The 26,755-nt window shown below is 36.3% G+C and overlaps 1 protein-coding gene across 2 annotated transcripts in view; it reads left to right on the forward strand.

Moving 5' to 3' along the window:
• LAMA2 (laminin subunit alpha 2) overlaps nt 1-26,755 on the forward strand; it is a 633,429-nt gene that overhangs the window by 316,192 nt on the left and 290,482 nt on the right. The gene's annotated exons all lie outside the window — the stretch shown is intronic.

Genomic DNA, 26,755 nt, shown 5'->3' on the forward strand with positions numbered 1-26,755 from the left:
AGAATTGGAAAAGCACTTTAACTGATGAAGGCTATCTACATAAAAATCAATAGCAAATATCTTATTTAATATAAAATGTTCAAAGTATTGTTTAAGATCACAAACATGAAACAATTCTCACTATAACGACTCCCACTTAACATTGTGCTAGAAGATGTGGACAGTGCAGTAGATAGGAAATAAAATATATAGGGATCAGAAAGGAAGAAATAAAACTCACTTATAGATGATATACTTATCTGCTTGTAAAATCAAGAGAATCTACAGACAAATTCTTAATCAGTGAGTCAATAAGGAGACTATATGCAAAATTAATATACAAAAGTCAATCATGTTTCTTTATATCAACAACACTTTTCAAAAAAAATTTTTAAGAGGCCATGTATAATAGCAATACATATAAATAGTACCAAGGATTAAATTTGTAGGGAAAAGCCAATGGCCAAGAATAATCAAAAGAAATTATAGATGGGGTGCGATGGCTCACATATGTAATCCCAGCACTTTGGGAGGCCAAGGTAGGTGGATCACCTGAGGTCAGAAGTTCGAGACCACCCTGGCCAACATGGCAAAACCCTGTCTCTACTAAAAATACAAAAATTAGCCAGGTGTGGTGACAAACGCCTGCAATCCCAGCTACTCGGGAGGCTGATGCAAGAGAATTGCTTGGACCCAGGAGGCAGAGGCTGCAGTGAGCCAAGATTGGGTCACTGCACTCCAGCCTGGGGCATAGAGCGAGACCCTCTCCAAAAATATATATATACACGTGTATATGTGTACACGTATATATATGTGTATATATATACGTGTACACATATACACGTGTATATATATATACGTGTACACATATACATGTGTATATATACATGTACACATATACATGTGTATATATATACGTGTACACATATACATGTGTATATATATACGTGTACACATATACATGTGTATATATATACGTGTACACATATACATGTGTGTATATATATACGTGTACACATATACATATACACGTATATGTGTACACATATACATATACACGTGTATGTGTACACATATACATGTGTATATACATGTACACATATACATATACGTGTATATGTGTACACATATACATATATGTATATATATACATGTACACATATACATGTATATATATGTGTATGTACACATATATATGTGTGTGTATATGCATATATGTATATATGTGAGTGTGTGTATATATATATATTTAGAAATTCTAAAGGAAAGAAGTGGGGCTTTTTGGAAAGGGATTAGGTCATGAGGGTTCTAATCTCCATGAATGGAATTAATGCCCTTATGAAAATCTTATCTGATATAAAGAGTTAGGACTTACTTTAAAAGATATAATGACTAAGGCAAAATGCTATCAGTGTGAAAATAAACCAATAGACCTGAAAAAATAGCCCATAGATATCACATACATAGATGAATACTTAACTTTTATTGAAATAGGCATTGCAGATCAATGACAATGGGATAGACCCTATACAGTAAATGGTCTGGTACCACTGATTATCTAGAGAAAAAAAATAAAATTTCTGCATCCTTACTCCACATTATACATAAAAATAAACTCCCCTTGAAACAAATCATAAATTTTCAAAAATTATGCTAAAGACAAACCTTTATAAAGACAACACATTGAGATTTCTGCTCCTGACCATAATTGAATAATAGTATCTAGATTTCCTTATCTACCTTAAACAACAACAAAGCCTGAGGGGGAAAAAATGTGGAACAACAGTTTTTAGACACTCTTCCACAGATAGCATAAAACTGTGATCTCTGAAAAAGAGAAACAAATGGGGTGAGGTTTACAATTGCCCCAAGATTATTGCCTGGGGACAGTCTCCAGGGTGAAGTGCATTGGTATATTGAGAAAAAAGCCAAACACAGCCTGGCCTTGCCAAATTGAAAGACAGAGGTTAGGGTTCATGGAGGCCAAGGCAGCTAGCATTTGTGAGGCAGCATACAAGGGAAGAGGAACCTGACCTGCACAGAGAGAGAGACGAGGAGAGAGCTGCAGCTATCTGCAAAGAGAAACCGGAGTACTGAGTTGCAAATATGTGAAAGAAAACTACCTAAGGCTAATGAAAGAATCACTAAAAAGTAGTAAGAGAAACAATTCCTGAGCTGATACAGGGCTGCTAATAGTTTATTTTCCTAACACCCAAAGTGGAATGTCTTCATAAGAGGGACTAAATTAGCTCCAAACTACAAGCTACTCTAGGTTCACCCCAACAAATCTTGAAAACAGCCTTAAAAGAAGTCAACTTATTCCAAATAAATTAACTGCATGCCAGAACAAAGTCCAATACTATTTAATTACAACAAAATCCAGCACTCAACAATGTAAAATTCATGATGTTTGGCATCAAATCAAAAACTACCAGGTACATAAACAAGCAGAGCATATAAGCCACTACCAGGAGGAAAATCAATCAATGGAAACAGAACCCCAAATGGCAAGAAAATCATGTCAAGATATATCAGAATCAAATTATTAAAAAGACAGATAACTGGAAAATTGTAAAAGCAATCAGAAAAAAACTAACATGGCCAGGCGCGGTGGCTCATGCCTGTAATCCCAGCACTTTGGGAGGCCAAGGCAGGTGGATCACGAGGTCAGGAGTTCAAGACCAGCCTGGCCAATATGGTGAAACCCCATCTCTACTAAAAATACAAAAATTAGCTGGGCATGGTGGTGCACACCTGTAGTCCCAGCTGCTCAGGAGGCTGAGGCAGGAGAATCACTTGAACCTGGGAGGCGATGGTTTCAGTGAGCCGAGATCATACCACTGCACTCCAGCCTAAGCAACAGAGCGAGAGTCTGTCTCAAAAAAAAAAAAAAAAAAAAAAGAAAAGAAAAGAAAACACAACAGGTGCAGAGGAACAAAGATAAGGAAGAATAGTTTCTTGTCAGACCCTATATGCTATGGTCCAAATGTTGGTGTCCCCCTAAAACTTATATGCTGGAACCTAATGCCTAATGTGATAGTATTTAGAGGTGGGGCTTTTGGGGGAGTGATTAAGTCATGAGGGCTCTAATCTCCATGAATGGGATTAACATCCTTACAAAAGAGGTTGAGGATGCTGCCTTGCCCTTTCCTTTACGTGAAGGGGCAGCAAGGAGGTACCACCTTGGAAGCAGAGAGCAAGCCCTCACCACACATCAAATCTGCTGATGCCTGGATCTTGGATTTCCTAGTCTCCAGCACTGTGAGCAGTATATTTTTAATGCTTAAAAACTACCTAGTCCCTGTTATTTTGTTGTAGCAGCCTGAATGCATCAGTACACTTTGCAAGCCAGAATACAATACAGAGATATGTTAAAGTATTAGGAAAAAACAACGCAAGCAATCAAATGAACAAAACAAATACTATCAGTCTATAATTCTTTACCAGGCAAAAATGTCTTCCAAAACTGAAGAAAAAACAAAGATTGTTTCAGAGAAATAGAAGTTGAAAGAATGTGTCACAGACTGATGTACACAAGAAGAAATGTAGAAAGTTCTTCAGGCAAAAGAAAAATGTTACCAGATGGAAATTTACTCCTACAAATAGAAATTAAGTGTATCAAACAGGTGAATAGCAATGCTTTGTCACTAGTGCTAGCTGTCACAAGACCTCTAGCCAGTCATGTTTTCAGCTGTAGGGCCTAACACCATGGTTAAGGAATGGTTACCTAAATACACAAACTTAAAGTAGAACTTCAAATACTTCCTGTATAAAATTTTCCCTCTGAAGTTTTAAAAAGAAAGACTGGGTTGTAAGAAGAGTATAAAAAAGGCTTGCTTCTCCAGCTCTCATTTCTCATTTCAAACTTAAAGAAAGAAAACCAGCACCAATTTGAAAGTGTTTCAATAAACTCTCAATGTAAAACTTCACGTTGTTTTCTGTAGCTTTTCAGTAACTTCTTACACTCATGTTCTATGTGCGGCTCAGTGGGGAACTATCTGTATCCAGTGGATTGTTGGTTCTGACACACTAGCCTACGTGCATATGGGGCAACCCCCAACATGCTGGCCCCTGCCACTTGCAATAGATCAGACCCACCCCTTGTGGTTGAGTGAGGCAGTATTATGTCAATTCTAAACCTGGCATTTTGTTTACTGTTGTTGAGTGTTGTTGGTAGTGGGAGAAGAAAATAGGTCACAGACAGTGTGAAGACACAAGGAGAAGACAGCCATCTACAAGCTAAGGAGAGAGGGCTGCAACAGCTTAATTCCTTGTAGTGTTCATAAAGAACCAATCCTGCTGACAGCTTGATCTCACATAGCAAAATAATACATGACTTTTTTTCCTCCTTGATTTCCATGAGAATTGGGTGAAAGCTATTACTCATATAAGCGGATGACCTGATTCTCTCATTTTTGTGGTTACCTTTGATTAGTGTTTTGGTCTTTATGCGTTTCACAGACCTGATTCAAATGCTGGATCTCTGCTTTATTAGCTTTGTGATCTTGGACATATCCCTTAATCTAGTTGAGCCAGATTCTCATTATCTGCAAAATGAGGCTTCTAGCACCCCTCAGAATTGTACAAAGCTCTCGAAAATGTCCTTAGCACACAGAAGCTGTCCGATAAATGCCAATTGCTTTATGAATTTCTGTAGTTGTATGCTGCAGTAATTTATTTTGGAGATCTTCCTTATATCAGTAAAAGACGTTTGTTAAAAAACACTTTGTCACCTGTCTGACATAGTATCTGGTGGTAGTAAGGATAAGACATCATTAAAAATAAAAATTGACAATCAGAGAGAGTTAATTTTAGCAAGTACGTAGATTATATGCCTTTAATGGCAGCTTTGCAGCAAAGTGCAAAACATAAATAAATCAGTTAACCAGATTTGTGAAATACCCGCAGAGTGTTTTAGACTTTATTTTGAAGGTGCCAAATTAGAGCTAACATGCATCGCTTCATGTCTTCCCAAGAAAATTACATGACAAATATCTATCTCTGCTTCACTGACAACCTGGCAGTGAAAGGGATTTGAGGTTTGTGCCCATCAGTAACTAATTAGAGAAGTAAATGTTATAACTAGTCAGTATTCTGTGGCTACAATGTGGCAAGTTAAAATAATATCCTTAAGGTGGGCGCTAACGCAATATGACTGGTATCCTTATGAAAAAAAAAAAAAAGGACAATTTGGAGATAAACACACCGACAGGGTAAACACCATGTGAACATGATGATGGCCATTCACAAGCAAAGGAGAGAGGCCTGGAACAGATTCCTCTTAGCCCTCAAAGGGAACTAACCCTGCCGATACCTTGATTTCAGACTTGTAGCCTCTAGAACTGTGAAACAATACATTTCTGTTGTATAAGCCACCCAGTCTATGGTATTTTATTATGGCAGCCCTAGCAAACCAATACAAATCATAAAACATCAATTATTTTTAAAATCTCATAATTTTCATTCTTGTTATATATATATAAAACAAATAAAAGGTGACTCTCTCTAATGTATAAAGAAGTTAAAGAAATTGATAACAGAAAGGCCAGCAGTCCAACAGAAATGAATGAGCAGTTTATAGAGAAGGAAATTTAAATGGCTCTTAAATGTATGAAACGGTACTCAACCCGACTCATAGTATGCTAACTACACTGAGAAATCATTGTCTTCTAACATATAGGAAAGTCAACCAAATGAATAACACATGCCATTCCTGTGGCTTCTTCAGGAACAAAGGTCCTCCTAAATTGGTAGTGTGAATATACATTGATGCAATCCAAAAAAAAAATCCAAAGTTATAGCTGGGCAGGGTGGCTCATGCCTGTAATCCCAGCACTTTGGGAGGCTGAGGCAGATGGATCACGACGTCAGGAGATGGAGACCATCCTGGTTAACATGGTGAAACCCCGTCTCTACTAAAAAAAATACAAAAAATTAGCTGGACCTAGTGGCACACGCCTGTAGTCCCAGCTACTTGAGAGGCTGAGGCAGGAGAATCGCTTGAATCCAGGAGGCAGAGGTTGCAGTGAGCAGAGATCATGCCACTACACTCCAGCCTGGGTGACAGAGCAAGGGATTCCATCTCAAAAAAAAAAGAAAAAAGAAAAAAAAATCCAAAGTTATAAATGCACAGTCTTACATACTTCTCTTCTGGGAATTTATTCTGTAAGTATATATATATATATACACACACACACACACACACACACACACACACACACACACGTGTGTGAAATGACATATATGCAAAGTGATTCATTCCAGAAATGTTTGTAATTGTCACCACAAAGCTGCCAATCACTGAGAGACTGATTAAATGAGTTTTGGTACACTCGTGCCATCAAACACTATAAAATTATTAAAAAAGGAAGGAAGATTTTTGTATAATAATATGGAATGATCCAAGGTGTATTTTAAATAAATTAAACTTAGGAGGCCAGGTGCACTGGCTCACGCCTGTAATCCCAACACTTTTGGTGGTTGAGACAGGCAGATCACTGGAGACCAGGAGTTCAAGACCAGCCTGGCCAACATGGTGAAACCCCACTCTACTAAAAATACAAAAATTAGCGGGTGTGGTGGTGTGTGCATGTAGTCCCCACTACCAGGGAGGCTGAGGCATGAGAATCACCTGAACTCCGGAGGCGGAGATTGCAGTGAGCTGAAATTGTGCCACTGCACTCCAGCCTGGGTGACAGACTGAGACTCCATCTCAAAAAAAAAAGAAAGGAAAAGAAAAAAAGGAAGGGAAGGGAAGGGAAAGGAAAGGAAAGGAGGAAGGAAGGGAGGGAGGGAGGGAGGAAGGAAGGAAGGAAGGAAGGAAGGAAGGAAGGAAGGAAGGAAGGAAGGAAGGAAGGAAATTAAACCTAGGAACAAAGTAGTTTATCTATCTAATCTATATGTATGACTACTATTTGTCTTTTAAAGTGGAGAAACGAATATGTCCTTGTAATTATAAGGTGACTTAGCTATTTAGAGTCACATCTAGCATTTGCATCAAGGTGAGTTTGTCTCAAAAGCTCTGTTCTAGTGCCCCACTCAAGAACAGATATTGTCAAATTTGTAAAAGATATTTTAACTGGAATAGACTTGATTTTTATTGCTGATTTAATCTATTACAAACTATTGCTTTTCTATTCTAAGCTGTTGTAAAAATTATTGCTTTAATATGATCACTTAATAAGCATTAAATGCCCCAATCCTATCTGCTAAAAATTGTTTGGCATGTTTAATTGATCACAAGGATTTGAATAGCACTCTTATCTTTTCAAGTATCTTCAAGAAATTCTTATTTTCAGCAGGGCATGTTGAGGAAACATAAAGCTTACATTTTTTATTCCTGATGTCTTCTCATCACTTCCAACAGTAGCCACTGAGTCAAAGCAGTTGCTCTCTTTCCTTACTTTTTCTAAAGCTCTCCCTCTATATTAGCTGTGTCTGAGATTGCAGGCAGTTAAAATCCAACATTTGGCACACTGAAAAAGGGGCTATGTGATAGGGCCTCCAACTGAAATGTGATGAATTATTAAACAGGTAGTTTGTTGGGTGATTGAAAATTACCTGTGAAAGAGTGCTTATCTCCTTGAGGCACATCGAAAGCTGACGGAATTGAGCCAATTAGACTGACTGTCTCTTCAATGAGTTGTGACCTATCAATGGTAATAGCTTATTATGATGATAAATGAACCCATCTCTCAAACTGAAGCCTGAGTACACACTTCAGCAGTTGCCTTGAATCATGAGGCCATTGCCTCTCAACTTCAGATCGACAGCAGTGACAGCCACAGGAGCAGAGAGCATGCATGACTAGACACAGATGATTGTTTTACTCAGATGAATATATTTACAGCTATTTCCAAAGAAACGGGCCCTTCTTTTGCATTGTGTATTCGTATCTGAAATAGTTACCATATGACGTTTCCTTCATTAGGAAGAGAACCCCTCCCTGGCTGTAGCATTCTGAAATAACTGGATTTTGAAGGTCTTTTTTTTTTCTTCACTTTTTGTTTATTGTTTACAATGTTTTAATTTCTCATTCTTGTGAGTAATAACTCAACTCCTGGTTAAGTAAAATTTCAGAATAAAAATATTGTTTTATAGTAAAGATGCTTGTAATATCAAAACAAGTATGTTTTTAAAAAATTAATTTCATCCTATTACATTTCACATTTTATATTTGATGTGGGTTGGAGGAGCCCCTTAGAGATTCTTTTTTCTTTGTAGAGAAGTTTTGTAGAGATCAATAGTGTAAGAATCATACAAGTGTAAATAGTTTTGTTTCCTTTTAATTTTTCAAAATATTTGAAAATTCTTTAAGTAGTTACTGAAATTTGGTAAGTTCCATGTGCTGCTATATTGATACATTTTGTTTTAGAAGAATTAGGAGCAAAAGGGTTATTTTTATAATGAAATACAATCTTCCAGTTCCTAATAAGTATTAGACACCTGTTAGCTGCCAACTTCCCAAAAATACCCCTGAGAAAAAAAAAAACCTGTTGGTCAAGAAAGTTCACGAAGTTATTACAGTAAACAAGAACATCACCTTGATATTCTTAGTAATGTCTCAGAAGGTGAGGGTCAGGGGAAGATATTTACAGGCTTTAGGGAAAAGGCTGGTTGATTTCAAGGCAAATCTTGAGTGAGAGGGAACTGGTTGGGATTCTGCAGGGTTTATTATATAATAGTTTTGGATTTGTCACCAGAGTGAACAAACATTGAAGAACATGTTATGAGTCTATAAGGAAGTTAGCTTAGATGGATCACAGAGCAGACAAGGTTTTCTTGGAGATTGCTCACAGCATTCTTAAAATAGGGGGTGGACATTTTTCTTACTCCCAGCATTATTTAGCACAGGAAAGGAAATTGTGTTAGCGTTAGAAGAAATTGTGTTTGCTTTAGTTCTTACAGACAATATATTTACTTAATCTTCTGTGACACTGTTTCTTAATGTATAAAATGAAAATAATATGAATACCTACTTTATAGTGTTATTTTGAGGGTTAAATGAGTTAACACATATGCAGTACTCAAGATGGTGTCTGAAAATGATAAGCATTTGGTATTAGCTATTATTATTAACTCCAACTGGGCTTAATTTGAGGTCAGGCATTATTTTGTTGAAATTTTAGAAAGACTCCCCTCACACATAAACAGACAGAAAGAGAGAGAGGAAGAAAGAAGAAAAGAGAGAGATAGAGAGAGGCAGAAAGAGAAAAAGAAAGAAAGAGAGAAAGAAAAGGAAGAGAAAGAAAGAAAGAGAAAGAAAGAGAAAGAAAGGAGGAAGGAAAGAAGAGAGGGAGAAAGAATGGAAGAAAGAAAGAAAGAAGAAAGAAAGAAGGAAGGAAGAGAGGGAGAAAGAAAGAGAAAGAGAAGGAAAGAAAGAAAAAGGAAGGAAGGAAGGAAAAGGGAGGGAGGGAGGGAAGGAAGGAGGGAGGGAGGAAGGAAGGAAGAGGAAGCAGGGAGGGCAAGGAAAGGAAAACAATGGAAAGAATAAAGAAATAAATGCAGCAGGAAAGGAAAAAGAATAGGAAGAATTTGCTCATATCTGTCTAATTTTTAGGGTATTTTGATATACAAAGTAACTGACTGTCAGGACCTGTCTTAGAGATGATCTGGTAGGACAGTAAATGGCTTTTCTTTCCAGTTTTCATCTGGGACTGGGTTTGAAGTGATCATCAGCCTCAGTGTTCTGGAAATAAGTCATTTATAATGAAATGGAACTGGAAATAACCCACAGACAAAAAGCTTTGCAAGCCATTGAAGTTCCCCTAGGCCATTTACTGCCTTAAGCTCGTTTTTACTCATACTGCAGGAAAAAAAAGAGTGAGTAGGGAGGTGGTGTTCTTATATCACATAATTTTAAATTAAGATGTGATGGTTTTATATAAAAGCAAAAATGCTTTATTTTGCTTTTTTTGTTCAAGACAAGTACAGGGATGAAATGTAAATATGTTAATATCTAATCTTAAGTCTGCTCTTGATCCGAAACTCTTTTGAAACTTTACCTAGAAAATGATAGAGCAATTTAATGTGTCTCACAATCTAGCAGAGATTTGGAGGGTGATGGATAGAATAAGGGCTTAACACAAGAAATAATTTCTGTTGTACAAAGCTCATGAGCTTCATGCATGGTGAAAGATATTTAGGCTAAAGAAAATGTTAACTATGCAGGGAATGAAACTCGTGACAGCTTGATCCCATAAAACTCAGCAAGGATGAGGTTTGACTCTGCATCCCTGATTTATATAGTACAGTATGTTTATTTAAAGGAGATAAGCCAGGTTAAGGGGTTCAGCAAAACTGTTAAATTAACTCCTTTAAAAATCTAGTTATTGCTATGAAAGTCTCTCAAGTGCGGTGCTCAGGCTTTTTTGCATCAGTCATCTGGAGTCTTTATTTAAAATGTTTATTATTGGCCGGGCGCGGTGGCTCACGCCTGTAATCCCAGCACTTTGGGAGGCTGAGGCGGGCGGATAACGAGGTCAGGAGATCGAGACCATCCTGGCTAACACGATGAAATCCCATCTCTACTAAATATACATAAAAATTAGCCAGGCAGGGTAGCGGGCACCTGTAATCCCAGCTACTCGGGAGGCTGAGGCAGGAGAATGACGTGAAGCCGGGAGGTGGAGCTTGCAGTGAGCCGTGATCGCGCCACTGCACTCCAGCCCGGGCGACAGAGCGAGACTCCATCTCAAAAAAAAAAAAAAAAAAAAAATTTTTACTATTGACCCTTACTCTGGATTCACTTATCCAGAAGATCTGGGGAAATCTACGTTTTTAATCAGCTCCCCAAGTGATTATTTACCCATAAGAATTTGGGGGGCACTCTTTTATGACTACTTTTTTAAATTACTGATGATTAATTATCTGCAGATAGTTCCCTAGACTTTGACTTTCCAAGGCTTTAAAAAAACAAACAAACAAAAAAACCTGCAGTATGCTTTTAGTCTGAATTCAGGGATTGACTTTCTTATCCAATAGTCTATCCTGTACAAGGGAACCCTAAAATAACCTCGTTAGCCACCACCAAAGACTATGTAAATACAAATTTATTTATCAATCTCATTAGAAACCGAACCACGCATGTGCACGCACACACACACACACACACCACACCAACCACACATTTACATTGGAATAAAATGAATCTTAGAAAGCAGCTATTTTTAAAGAAACAGGAAGTCTAACATGTACTGCCATTAATTTGGAATGGGAGAGAAAGGAGACTTGGCAGAACCAGAATATTGCGTGAGGATTGAAGATAGCTTCAGATTCTAGAAGAGTTTCTAGCTCTTTCTGAATATGTGTTAACAGTTTCGCTGTTTGAGCTCTGCTACCCACTAGCCAGTTATAAACACAGGTAAGACCCTTAACTTCACAGGGCCTGTTGGGAAGAGGTTATAATTTTTTAGCAACAGAACCTGTTTTTCAAACAAAATCCTAATTAGAACACCCAAAAACAAACAAAATAAAGGATTCAAATGGGTGACATGGCCAGTCCTGGTTACAGTATGAGACAGATGCCGGTTACGGTGGGCAACAGAACAGATGCTGGCTACAGTGGTCGACAGAGTTCATTTTAGTTCAAGCAGAAGGTAGGGCTGGTGCTTGTTACAGTGGCCAGTAGGCCTGGTTTCTGGTTATAGCACATGGCAGAGTTAGGAGCTCTACCTACATTATGTCCCCACGGCCTCATCTGTGGTTTCCCCATAAGAAAACTACCTTTTGGGAAAACATGATACAAACAGATCAGGTGAATTAGAAGGTCTCCTGCAGATTTAAAATTTTATGAATATAATGCCAAATATAATCTTACACTCAGTTGACTACTAATAATAAATAACCCTACAAAATATGGTAAAGTGACTCCATGACAACAATTGAAAAGAAAATAATTGCACTCAGCTGAGCTATTGTCCATATCTAGATGCACTGATGATACACAAACCCAGCCACAGAAAATGTGGCATGTGTCAGAGCAAAGCAACTAGAATGATTCAAGACACTGAACAGCCAGTGTTCAAGCTACGTAATTTCTTACCTATATTACAGGAAAAAACCATCTAACTCTTTTTCTACCTCCAACCTCCCTCCTCTGAAATGTTATTCACATACCTGGTGGAGAAGAATCTTTATAAAACTCAAATTTGATTACCTTAGTCCTCTGCTTAAAATTTCAGTGTCTTTCAATGAAAGCTCAGAGACCATTCTGGACTTATAACTCCCTTGCAGCTCAGAAGGGACCCGTGGTCCAGTAATTAAAATGCCCGTGGTAAGTGTTCAATGCTCTCTCATGCTTTTCTTCTCACAATGTCCCTTCAGTACGGGATTTCTTTCTACCATTTTCCTGAGTAATTACCTTCTAGTCATCATTCAAAAAGCATTTAAGCATTGAATTCTATAGGAAATGTTTCTAATCACCCTATCCCCCAGCTCTGGCTGAGTTAGGCCTTCTCTGCACAATTCCCATGAAAGCACCTACCACCCAGCAGGCAGAAATATCCCTCTTTGACTTTCTCACTAAACTGCAAATTCCTGGTGAGTGACAACTGGATTCTATTCTTCTTCTAACCTCTAGAACCTAGCAGATTGCTTTGGAGACCTTAGGAACTTAATAATTCTTTGTTGAGTGAATAAAGGGATGCTTTTTGTGGACAGCAGTTATTTCTGTTTACACAAAAGATAAGAGAAAATACAGGTAAAATTATCCTAAATTTTAAAAAATTTGAAACTTACAAAAAGTGTTGGATTTAAGTTCCTTTGTCTGTCTGGATTTCCGAAATATTTTTAAAAGATTTTTTCTGGGATCATTTAAGGCCTCATCTGTTCAGAACCAAGGGGAGGACCGAAATAGTATGCCAAATTCTTTTCCAGCCCTCAAATTTTATGAGCCTGAGTTGCATTGTGTGGGTAAAAGTCTTGTGCTCTGTGGATCAGGAGGAAGTTAGATGTTTTGGATATTTACATAGAAACAAAGAATTTGAAGACTGGAAAGAACTTGAGCAGGACTCTATTAAATGTGTTTTGTGTGAGATGGTTTTCACCCTGTGTTCTTGTGGTTCCTCCATGCTAGGGGCAGGAGGTAGGATGGAGCAGATAGGGAGTCTCTTTTCCTCTTAAACCGGATGTTTTTTTTAAAATCAGTTTTATATGTTGAGAGTCCATGGAATGGAATGTGGAAACTGAGACCCTGAAAGATTAAGTCACTTGAACAAAGATATACAGCTTCTCCAGAGACCAGGCAGACACTAGGTTTATGATTTCCTGACTTCCACTGCAGATCTCTTACCATTTTTCTATGAGAGTCATAAAAAAAGAATCAGCTATTTACTTTCTAGTCAAGGTGGGTTAAAATCAAGCCACTTGTTTTCAAACATCGATTTCGGGTTCATGCCATCAAATTAAAAAATTCACTTAACTGAGTTTAATTTGCTTTCACTTAGGAAGCAGCTGCCTTTCAAGATAATAAAATAAACAGATACAATAATATTTGGTCAGCTGTGGCTTTTAATTTAAATGTTTGATTTAATGTTGTTTAGTTTGCTGGATTCCAAAATATTCTCTGCAAGAGAAGCATACACATTCTAAAGCATTTCAAATGTTTATTATGATGTCCTAGAGGTGGCTGTCTTTCTGTTGCTGTGCATACCCTGAGCAGACTTGACATTGCTTTGGAAGCACATATTTTCTGATAGACATATTACTCTCATAATCTAAAATTTTTCAGAAGTGACAAAAGTGGGGTTGACCATTTTCTTCTTCGCTGTCTCCATGATTTTGCTTTTTCCAAGATGTCATGTAGTTAGAATCATACAATGTGTTGTCTTTTCAGGTTGGCTTTTTTCACTTAGCAATATGCCTGTAAGGTTCCGCCATGTCTTTTCTTGCCTTGATAATTCATTTCTTTTTAGCTCTGAATACTATTTTGTTGTCTGGATATAACCACAGTTGAATTATCCATTTACCTCCTGAAAAACATCCTGCTTGCTACCATGTTCTGGCAATATGAATCAAGCTGCTATAAACACTTATGTGATAAGTCTTGTGTGGATATAAATATTCAACTTATTTGGGTAAATACCAAAGAGTGCAATTACTGGATCATATGGTCAGAGCATGCTAGTTTTGTAATAAACTGCCAAACTATCTTCCAATATGGTTGTATAATTTTGCATTCTCACCAGCAATGAACAAGAGTTCCTGTTTCTCCACATTCTCACCAGCATTTCATATTGTCAATGTTTTAGACATCAGCTATTCTAATAGATATGTAGTGGTATATCGTTGTTTTAATTTGAAATTCTCTAATGATGTAAGATGATGAGCATGTTTTCATGTGCTTATTTTCCATCTGTATATAAGCTTTGCTGAGGTATCTGTTTAGATTTTTTCCAATTTTTAAATTTATTTTCTTGTTGTTGAGATTTAAGAGTTCTTTGTATGTTTTGGACCATATCAGGTATATCTTTTGCAAATATTTTCTTGCAAATGGTAGTTTCTCTTATTCTCTTCACAGTGTCTTTCACAGAGAAGATGATTTTTAATTTTAATAAAATCTAAAATGAATTTTTATTTCATGGATCTTGACTTTAGTGTTATATATAAAGAGTTACTGCAAACTCAGGGTTATTTAGATTTTCTTCTATGTTATCTTCCAAGAGTCATAGTTTTGCATTTTATATGATCCATTTTGAGGTCTATGATCCATTTTGTGTTAATTTTTGTGAGGGTCTATATCTGCATTTATGTATTTTTTCACAAGTTATCTCAGTCAATTTTCTGTTGCTATAACAGAATACCTGAGACTAGGTAATTTATAAAGGAGAGAGTTCTATTTAGCTTGTGATCCTGGGAGCTTGACTAGGAGATCCAAGTTAGGACAGGTGCATTTGGTCAAGTTCTGGTGAGAGTCTTGTGCTGCATCTTAACATGGTGGAGAAGTGGAAGAAAAAGTGGGCATGTGCAAAATGACCAAACACAAGAGGGAGCCTTCCTTTTTAACAACCCACCCTCGAGGTAGCTAATCCAGTCCTACAAGAGCAAGAACTCACTCTAAGAAAGGTATTAATTCCTTTTTAAAAACCTAATCACCTCTCCAAGGCACCACCTCTCAACATCACCCCATTAGGAACCAAACCTCACTATGGATTTTGATTGTGACAAACCATATTCTAACCATAACACAAATGATGTCCAGTTTTTCTAGTGCCATTTGTTGAAAACACTTTCCTTTCTTCATTGAATTCCCTTTGCTCCTTTGTGAAAGATCAGATGGCCATATTCATGCGGGTGTATTTCTGGGCTGGCTATTCTGTTCCATTGATCTAAGTGACTTTTTTCTGACCAGTACTATATTGTCTTGATAACTATAGTTTTATACTAAGTCTTGAAGTTGGGTAGTGTTAGCTTTACAAGTTTGTTCAATATTATTTAATGATGTGTTGGCTGTTCTTGGTCTTTCCTCTCCATATAAATTTTAGAATCAGTGTGTTGATATCCAAAAAATAACTTGCTGGGATTTTGACTGGGATTACCTTGAATCTACACAAATTGGGAAGAACTGACATCCTACCTTGAGTCTTCCTATTTATGGACATGGAATACCTCTCCATTTATTTAATTTTTCTTTGATTTCTTTCACTGGAGTTTTATAGTTTTCCTCATATAGATTTTGTACATAATTTGTTAGATTTATATTGAAGTGTTTTGTGGAGCATGCTAGTATAAATGGTCTTGTGTTTTTAACTTCACATTCCAATTTTCTTTGCTAATATATAGGAAAGCAATTGACTTTTATACCACCTTTTTCTTCAGACAGATGGAATCAAGTGACTTAGAAATTGGCTTTGTTGCTCTGCCTGAGTATCTTGAAAATTCTCATCTTCCTTCTGAGAACCATAACCTACATATCTCAAGGTTATAGATAAAATGCTACCTACAAAATCCTTGTAATGCTTACAGTCTAAAAGACTAAATAAGGCCTCAAGAGATTATTCAAAATCAGAGTTGTTGATTCCCAGTAGAGTCATAAAGGGCTATGTTATGTTAGCTGCAATTCTAATCCTATATCAAAGCTTCTGACTTCCACTCCCCCATATCTAAGGAGGTTTCCCTCAACAGTTGAAAAATAACTGCAGATACTGCTTTGCCATCCCATGCCACAAAAATGCATTTCTGAAGGATGCTGCAGAGAGATATATATTTCTTAAGCCCAGCTCATATCTATTTCTCAAGGCTGTGTGATATCATAGAATGAATGATGGAGTCAAATAAATAAATATTTATTTATTTATTTATCAGTCAAATAAATCTGATTTAATTTTTTAGAACTTAACATTTAGTAGCTGTGAGATCTTACAGAGATTTCTTCACCTTGTATCCTTTGTCACTTTATCTATAAAATGGAGAGTGTAAATACTACTTCTTAGAGTTATCATGATTCTTTAATCTAATAACTCATGAGACACTGGATATGTAATAGGAACTGAATAATTCTTAACCCCCTTGCTTTCCCTTGACATTTCCAGAAAATAAAACTTGATTGAGTATCTAAGATTATATAACAGATCCCACTAGACTAAGTGAATCTGAGGGAAGATGTATTTGTCACTTTTCTTCTCTTCTTTGGTTTTTAAAAAGTATCATTAGAAATAGAATCAGTAACTATAAACAAATTTCTGTGTACTGATCCAGTATTAACAGAGAAAATAATGGTTGACTGTGCCTTACTGTGCAAGGCAAAAATGAGCTCAAGATATTATCAAAGTCATGAATCAGAAAGAGAATTTCGTTTTACAAATGATGGATAGCCACAAAACAACTAGGACATACAATCTCTGATTACACAACTGCAGTCTATAGCTACATTCTGCAGATTAAACACCACAGTAGAGATGGAAACTTTATTGTTTATATTTTATGAAAACTGTTCTCTTTTGTTTTTATGTCAGTTTGAGAGTAGAAGAATATCCTTGAGGGCAAAACATGCCTTTCATACATTAGAGCTGCCTAGAGCATAGTCTGGCACATTATATAAATATTAAATAATTCCTATAATTAAACTGATGTTCTTTGGAATGAGGATGGAGACACATAGTTATCTGAATTGCCTTAAGCTAGTTTTGCAATAAGTAGATTTTTACTATTCTAGAATATGTAATGAATGAATCATGCTATGTTACAAGTAAGTATTAATTAATGGTTGAAGTACAAAAACATCTTCCTTGAATTATATGATAATCTACATCACAGTGAAAGGAATTTATCATGACAAATGCTAGTCAATGTTGAATCACAGAGGGCTATATGAGATCCATTTTCATTCTTAAAGAAAATTATTATATCTTTTTATTAATATGGTGGATATTTACTCAGTAAATAATAAAGAAAACTAATATGAAGTGCAATTTGTAATATTCTATTTATGATGCATGATTTTTGTTGCACAATTAGAAAATACTTAAGTTCTTGAGAATAGTTGGAAAGGGTTGTAATGATCAGAAACACATATTATACCTAAACATGTATTAAGACCTTGTTTTAAAAATTAGATCTTGGAGCAAGAAGGTAAGCTGTATCATTACGTTCTTAGAATACAGGGTTGGGCGTGGGGGCTCATGCCTGTAATCCCAGCATTTTGGGAGGCTGAGGCGGGTGGATCACGAGGTCAGGAGATCAAGACCATCCTGGCCAACATGACGAAACCCTGTCTGTACTAAAAATACAAAAATTACCTGGGTATGGTGGCGTGTGCCTGTAATCCCAGCTACTTGGGAGGCTGAGGCAGGAGAATCGCTTGAACCCAGGAGGCGGAGGTTGCAGTGAGCTGAGATCGTGCCTCTGCACTCCAGCCTGGTGACAGAGCGAGACTCCATCTCAAAAAAAAAATAATAATAATAATAAGGGTAAATACAAGGAGTGTGTTTTGAATACAAAATATCTATTTTTAGAATCTCAAACCCATGAGTTACTTTCTTCCATATATAAGTCCCAACATGTTTTCTATAATCAGTCTATGTCTATTAGATGTGTAATTATATTAATTATGTAAATGCACATGAATACCAAATTATTTGGTTAATCTTCGAATTTCTTTTAGCAATTATATACTCTCCTCCAGGTTAGATTGAGCTTTCCCTTCAACTCAGAGAAATCAGTGTCAACAGGCTACCTTCTGTAAGACTACCAGAGAGCTATGCATTACTCTGTACAAAGGATATTTCTCCTATAAATAGTGCTTTCAATAGAGAAAATCTGTTATCATGTTGTCAGTAAATTCAAATATTTTCTCTTTTGGAATACTCTGTTCCTATTAAAACAAGAGCTGTTTCCTTCTTTGAAACAAGTTATTTATATTTATGTGGTTAAGATATCCTATCTTAAACCATAAGACCTTTTTGAATACTTCACATACAGAAAAATGAAAAAAATTAAACAAATATCAGAGTTGCTGGGAACCCCAGGATATAATCTACTGTGGATAGTCATTCATAGACAAAGACACCTCCTATTTATAGGCTTGGGACAGTTCAGCTTCTCCAACTTGAAGAGAGTTTTGAAGATCAAATACAAATGGGTCTTGTGAAGTTTCAAAAAATGTTTCTCAAAGTCCTTTGAGAAAAATAAACTTGGGCCTGTAGCCAATAGTTTGTATTCCAGGCTTTTAAAAAAAATTCAAATACAGAAACATCAGATTTTCATTGCCATAGGGGTCATGACATCTTTTAACATAAGTGCAGAAACTATCTGTAATGAATCAAAACTTAAATCAGATGACATTAAGACCAGCTTTGCTATTACCACAGATGGCATCACAATTAACTTTTAATATATCAAAAATGTGAGTGTACTCATATATTATCAGTCATTTGATCATGATATTCCAACATTAACATCTCAGTGTATTGTGAAAATGATTCATTTGTACAATATTTTTCTTCTTCTAGACTTTTAATTTCTTGAAGGAAGGAACGCATTTTACTCATCTTGTAGTGACCCTCCCTGTACATGTTGCCTGAGACATAATAACTATTCAAAAATGTTTACAGTATTCAATGAAATTATATAAATCTTGGTTTAAAAAGCTTGATATACAATGAAACATACTTGGGCAAATTATAAAGCTGTTCCTGAGAATGAGCTAATACATATTTAGTTGTTAAAATTCTGAGGGGAAAATGTAAATTAGATGTGAACTACCTCTACAATATAAGATAGCAGTAGGCTGTAAGTTAAAATAATCATTTTTCTCATTTTTCAGTAACATTCATTAAATGCCTGATACAATTCTGTACTTTCTGAAAATTGACTATAATAAAGAAATCCTGGCCATTATAAAATTGTCATCCACTCATAGGTAGAATAAATGAGAGAATTATGGTGATCTAAATATAGAAAGCATTTAAATTAGAGAACAGCTGAAATTGTGCTTCTAAAACATTTCAGTGTTGTTCATTTTCTATATGTTATATTGAAAAAAGTAATATGGAAATGTAATGTTTTCATTTGCAGATGCTTAAATTTAGATACATGTTTAATACTGTAATCATTTTGATCAAACAGCAGCTATTATTTATTATTCAATATTTATATGTAAAACCTGAAACTTTCATCTACCTTAATGATGGTATTGTGATAAAAGTACCCATGTATCACCAAGATTTGCCAATTCTTTTTATTCCTTAAAGAATATCTGACAATTTGCTGGTTTGTATAAGTTTGAGTTAAGACACCGTAATAATGTCCTGCAGTATATATGTCAAAATACATGGGTCAAAAAGACACTCTAAAATAGCAGTCTCCAAGAACCCAGGAAGTATGTGATCCATAGGAGTGTACATATTTTATTTTCTTTAAAAAATAAGACAGACACTTCTCAAAAGAAGACATTTATGCAGCCAAAAAACACATGAAAAAATGCTCACCATCACTGGCCATCAGAGAAATGCAAATCAAAACCACAATGAGATACCATCTCACACCAATTAGAATGGCAGTCATTAAAAAGTCAGGAAACAACAGATGCTGGAGAGGATGTGGAGAAATAGGAACACTTTTACACTGTTGGTGGGACTGTAAACTAGTTTAACCATTGTGGAAGTCAGTGTGGTGATTCCTCAGGGATCTAGAACTTGAAATACCATTTGACCCAGCCATCCCATTACTGGGTATGTACCCAAAGGACTATAAATCATGCTGCTATAAAGACACATGCACACGTATGTTTATTGTGGCACTATTCACAATAGCAAAGACTTGGAACCAACCCAAATGTCCAACAATGATAGACTGGATTAAGAAAATGTGGCACATATACACCATGGAATACTATGCAGCCATAAAAAATGATGAGTTCATGTCCTTTGTAGGGACATGGATGAAATTGGAAATCATCATTCTCAGTAAACTATCACAAGGACAAAAAAACAAACACCACATGTTCTCACTCATAGGTGGGAATTGAACAATGAGAACACATGGACACAGGAAGGGGAACATCACACTCTGGGGACTGTTGTGGGGTGGGGGGGAGGGGGGAGAGATAGCATTAGGAGATGCTAAATGACGAGTTAATGGGTGCAGCACACCAGCATGGCACATGTATACATATGTAACTAACTGGCACATGGTGCACATGTACCCTAAAACTTAAAGTATAATAATAATAAAATAAAAATAAAATAAAATAAGACCATTAAAAAAAAGTTCATCGTATGGATTGACACTGGGCTGCTCCCTGGTGGAGTACCAGCTCAAGATGTTTTGAGGAAAAAATTTGCATTTACCAAGTGGGAGGATTTATAGTGGTGATTTCACTTGTTCATTGATTTAGACATATGAAATATTATATTTTTTGCACAACTAAGTTGGCTTTCAGATTATATGACCATATTTTTAACTAAATGAAGCTTTGCTGAATAAATACATGACTTAATATATTCCTTCAAAAAACATATAGTGAAATAATATTAACTACACAAAGATAAGCAATGAGCAAAAAAACACTAGTGCTTACCACTGCTCTTGGTAAGAGCTTTCCTTCAGGCACAAAATGAGATAAAAGTAATGACAAGGTAAAACTGGATGAAAATTGGTCAACAAGTGAGGAATTAACTGCCTTGCAAAAGCAGTTTTTATTATACAGAAACCATTTTGAAAGCAGTTATTCAGAAAGTTTCTATCAGTATATGATTTGTAGCTCAAATTATTGTTGGTCTATCAATCACAAATACTATTTTCTGCATAATATAGCTAGAAAATATAATTATCTAACTTATTTTTAAAGTCTTCTAAACATGAAGTTTCAGTGAGCTTTGAAGCTTTTTGTTAAATATGTTAAAATGTCATACTTTCCAAATAGTTTCCAATTATAACCAATTAGCATCAGAAAATTTATTAGCCAAATTTCACCAAGAACCTAATTTGTGAGAGAATTGAAAAATGAGTACCATAATTTAGTATGCTCAGCCACTGATGTAATGCTTATAATGGGACCTGTGTATTTTTTGTCTGTGCTGTATCTCTTTTCAGCTGTGAAAACTATTATTACTAAGTATTAAAACAAACTGAGGGCAAGGCACGGTGGCTCATGCCCGTATTCCCAGCACTGTGGGAGGCCGAGGAGGGTGGATCACTTCAGATCAGGAGTTCAAGACCAGCCTTGCCAACGCGGTGAAACCCTGTCTCTACTAAAAATACAAAAATTAGCCGGGCATGGTGGCACATGCCTGTAATCCCAGCTACTCGTGAGGCTGAGGCAGGAGAATCGCTTGAACCTGGGAGACAAGAGGTTGCAGTGAGCCAAGATCACACCACTGCACTCCAGCCTGGGAGACAGAGCAAGACTCCATCTCAAAAAAAAAATAAAAATTAAAAAAAAAGCCTGAACCTAGAAACGGACCTACAAATGTCAATACTTAGTAATATTTTTAATTATTAAGCCAAGATTTCCAAAAATAAGAAAAGCATAATTGATTATACTGGTTTCTTTTTTTTTTTTTTTCATTTGGAACATATAATTGAGAAAGCTTTAGTATCAAGCATATGTAAAGACTCATAAAATAATAAGGAAAGGCCAAACTGCCTGATAGACCAAAAAAAAAAAAATCAACAATAAACATTTTACAGAGGAGAAACAGAGAAACATATACAGCTAAAAACATATGGAAGGATCTTGAGTCTTATAGCAATATTGATGAGCAAATCAATATGTAGAATAGCAAATCAGTATCATTATCAAAGAGATAATGGATATCTCTTTATACTCAATTTATTGGCAATAATTAAGAATTTAAACTACAGAAATATTGAAAAGTATTTGAATCAACCAGATTTCTTATATAGTGCTAATATAAATTGGTTAACCACTTGACATTATCTTTTAAAGTTTAATATTCACACACCCTATGACCCAACAATTTTCTAGATGTATATACTAAAGGAAATTATTACATTTGTGCACCCAGATAAACACATAAAAGTGTTCATAAAAGTACTGTTTATATTAAGAAGAGCCGACAGCAGATGCCTATCCAGAGGTAAACAAATTGTAATATATCTGGAATAACTTGTTGCAATGAAAATAAATGAACTACAGGTATACGTGATAATATGATGCTTAGTGATAGGTTCTCAGATGATCACAGCATGATGGTCTTTATAAGCAATAACATTTTTGAGCAAACATATATTTGCTGAAATTATCTTTTTAAAAATGTAAGAAAATAATATAAACACAAAATTCAGCATGTCAGGGTTATGCTGCAGGGTAACGGGGTGGTGAGGATTGTATAGATAGTTGCAAACATTGCTCATGTTCAACTTCTTGGGTTGGGTAGTTGGCTTTTATCACTAACAAAGTAATAAGCCAGGGAATACAATGGGTAAATGAAAAAATAAAATAGAGTCACGATTAGACCAATGATGATAGTATATCATAAATCAAGTCTTCTCATCTTTAAAATGGAATTAGTAGGAGTACTTAGCTTCCTAGGGTTGTTATGAAGGTTGAAATTCTTAGAATAATGCCTGGTACATAGCATTTTTTTTTTTAAGTTAAGTTCTAGGGTACATGTGCACAATGTGCAGGTTTGTTATGTATGTGTACATGTGCCATGTTGGTGTGCTGCATCCATTAACTCGTTATTTACGTTAGGTATATCTCCTAATGCTATCCCTCCCCCCTCCCCCCACCCTACGACAGGCCCCGGTGTGTGATGTTCCCCTTCCTGTGTCCAAGTGTTTTCATTGTTCAGTTCCCACCTATGAGTGAGAATATGCGATGTTTAGTTTGTTGTCCTTGTGATAGTTTGCTGAGAATGATGGTTTCTAGCTTCATCCATGTCCCTACAAAGGACGTGAACTCATCCTTTTTTATGGCTGCATAGTATTCCATGGTGTATACATGCCACATTTTCTTAATCCAGTCTATCATTGATGGACATTTGGGTTGGTTCCAAGTCTTTGCTATTATGAATAGTGCCGCAATAAACATACATGTGCATGTGTCTTTATAGCAGCATGATTTATAATCCTTTGGGTATATACCCAGTAATGGGATGACTGGGTCAAATGGTATTTCTAGTTCTAGATCCTTGAGGAATCGCCCCACTGTCTTCCACAATGGTTGAACTAGTTTACAATCCCACCAACAGTGTAAAAGTGTTCCTATTTCTCCACATCCTCTCCAGCACCTGTTGTTTCCAGACTTTTTAATGATCACCAGTCTAACTGGTGTAGGATGGTATCTCATTGTGGTTTTGATTTGCATTTCTCTGATGGCCAGTGATGATGAGCATTTTTTCATGTGTCTGCTGGCTGCATCAGTGTCTTCTTTTGAGAAGTGTCTGTTCATATCCTTTGCCCAATTTTGATGGGGTTATTTGTTTTTTTCTTGTAAGTTTGTTTGAGTTCTTTGTAGATTCTGGATATTAGCCCTTTGTCAGATGAGTAGATTGCAAAAATCTTCTCCCATTCTGTAGGTTGCCTGTTCACTCTGATGGTAGTTTCTTTTGCTGTGCAGAAGCTCTTTAGTTTAATTAGATCCCATTTGTCAACTTTGGCTTTTGTTGCCCTTGCTTTTCGTGTTTTAGACAAAAAGTCCTTACCCATGCCTATGTCCTCAATGGTATTGCCTAGGTTTTCTTCTAGGGTTTTTATGGTTTTATGTCTAACATTTAAGTCTTTAATCCATCTTGAATTAATTTTTGTATAAGGTGTAAGGAAGGGATCCAGTTTCAGCTTTCTACATATGGCTAGCCAGTTTTCCCAGCACCATTTATTAAATAGGGAATCCATTCCCCATTGCTTGTTTTTGTCAGGTTTGTCAAAGATCAGATGGTTGTAGATGTGTGGTATTATTTCTGAGGGCTCTATTCTGTTCCATTGATCTACATCTCTCTTTTGGTACCAGTACCATGCTGTTTTGGTTACTGTAGCCTTGTAGTATAGTTTGAAGTCAGGTAGCATGATGCCTCCAGCTTTGTTCTTTTGGCTTAGGATTGACTTGGGAATGTGGGCTCTTTTTTGGTTCCATATGAACTTTAAAGTAGTTTTTTTTCCAATTCTGTGAAGAAAGTCACTGGTAGCTTGATAGGGATGGCATTGAATCTATGAATTACCTTGGGCAGTATGGCCATTTTCACGATATTGATTCTTCCTATCCATAAGCATGGAATGTTCTTCCATTTGTTTGTGTCCTCTTTTATTTTGTTGAGCAGTAATTTGCAGTTCTCCTTGAAGAGGTCCTTCACATCCCTTGTAAGTTGGATTCCTAGGTATTTTATTCTCTTTGAAGCAATTGTGAATAGGAGTTCACTCATGATTTGGCTCTCTGATTGTCTGTTGTTAGTGTATAAGAATGCTTGTGATTTTTCTACATTGATTTTGTATCCTGAGACTTTGGTGAAGTTGCTTATCAGCTTTAGGAGATTTTGGGCTGAGACAATGGGGTTTTCTAAATATACAATTATGTCATCTGCAAACAGGGACAATTTGACTACCTCTTTTCCTAATTAAATACCCTTCATTACTTTCTCCTGCCTGATTGCCCTGGCCAGAACTTCCAACACTATGTTGAATAGGAGTGGTGAGAGAGGGCATCCCTGTCTTGTGCCAGTTTTCAAAGGGAATGCTTCCAGTTTTTGCCCATTCAGTATGATATTGGCTGTGGGTTTGTCATAGATAGCTCTTATTATTTTGAGATACATCCCATCAATACCTAATTTATTGAGAGTTTTTGGCATGAAGGGCTGTTGAATTTTGTCAAAGGCCTTTTCTGCATTTATTGAGATAATCATGTGGTTTTTGTTTATATGCTGGATTACGTTTATTGATTTGTGTATGTTGAACCAGCCTTGCATCCCGTGGATGAAGCCCACTTGATCGTGGTGGATAAGCTTTTTGATGTGCTGCTGCATTCAGTTTGCCATTATTTTATTGAGGATTTTTGCATTGATGTTCATCAGGGATATTAGTCAAAAATTCTCTTTTTTGTTGTGTCTCTGCCAGGCTTTTGTATCAGGAGGATGCTGGCCTCATCAAATGAGTTAGAGAGGATTCCCTCTTTTTCTATTGATTGGAATAGTTTCAGAAGGAATGGTACCACCTCCTCCTTGTACCTCTGGTAGAATTCGGCTGTGAATCCATCTGGTCCTGGACTTTTTTTGGTTGGTAGGCTATTAATTATTGCCTCAATTTCAGAGCCTGTTATTGGTCTATTCAGAGATTCAACTTCTTCCTTGTTTAGTATTGGGAGGGTGTATGTGTCCAGGAATCTATCCATTTCTTCAAGATTTTCTAGTTTATTTGCATAGAGGTGTTTATAGTATTCTCTGATGGTAGTTTGTATTTCTGTGGGATCGGTGGTGATATCCCCTTTATCATTTTTTATTGCATCTATTTGATTCTTCTCTCTTTTCTTCTTTATTAGTCTTGCTAGCAGTCTATCAATTTTGTTGATCTTTTCAAAAAATCATCTCCTGGATTCACTGATTTGTTGAAGGGTTTTTTGTGACTCTATCTCCTTCAGTTCTGCTCTGATCTTAGTTATTTCTTGCCTTCTGCTAGCTTTTGAGTGTGTTTGCTCTTGCTTCTCTAGTTCTTTTAATTGTGATGTTAGGGTGTCAATTTTGGATCTTTCCTGCTTTCTCTTGTGGGCATTTAGTGCTATAAATTTCCCTCTACACACTGCTTTAAATGTGTCCCAGAGATTCTGGTATGTTGTATCTTTGTTCTCATTAGTTTCAAAGAACATCTTTATTCCAGCCTTCATTTCGTTATATACCCAGTAGTCATTCAGGAACAGGTTGTTCAGTTTCCATGTAGTTGAGCCGTTTTCAGTGAGTTTCTTAATCCTGAGTTCTAGTTTGATTGCACTGTGGTCTGAGAGACAGTTTGTTATAATTTCTGATCTTTTACATTTGCTGAGGAGTGCTTTACTTCCAACTATGTGGTCAATTTTGGAATAAGTGTGATGTGGTGCTGAGCAGAATGTATATTCTGTTGATTTGGGGTGGAGAGTTCTGCAAATGTCTATTAGGTCCACTTGGTGCAGAGCTGAGTTCAATTCCTGGATATCCTTGTTACCTTTCTGTCTCGTTGATCTGTCTAATGTTGACAGTGGGGTGTTAAAGTCTCCCATTATTATTGTGTGGGAGTCTAAGTCTCTTTGTAGGTCTCTAAGGACTTGCTTTATGAATCTGAGTGCTCCTGTATTGGGTGCATATATATTTAGGATAGTTAGCTCTTCTTGTTGAATTGATCCCTTTACCATTAT

The sequence above is a fragment of the Homo sapiens genome, chromosome 6 (assembly GCF_000001405.40).
Source record: "Homo sapiens chromosome 6, GRCh38.p14 Primary Assembly".
Lineage (NCBI taxonomy): Eukaryota > Metazoa > Chordata > Mammalia > Primates > Hominidae > Homo > Homo sapiens.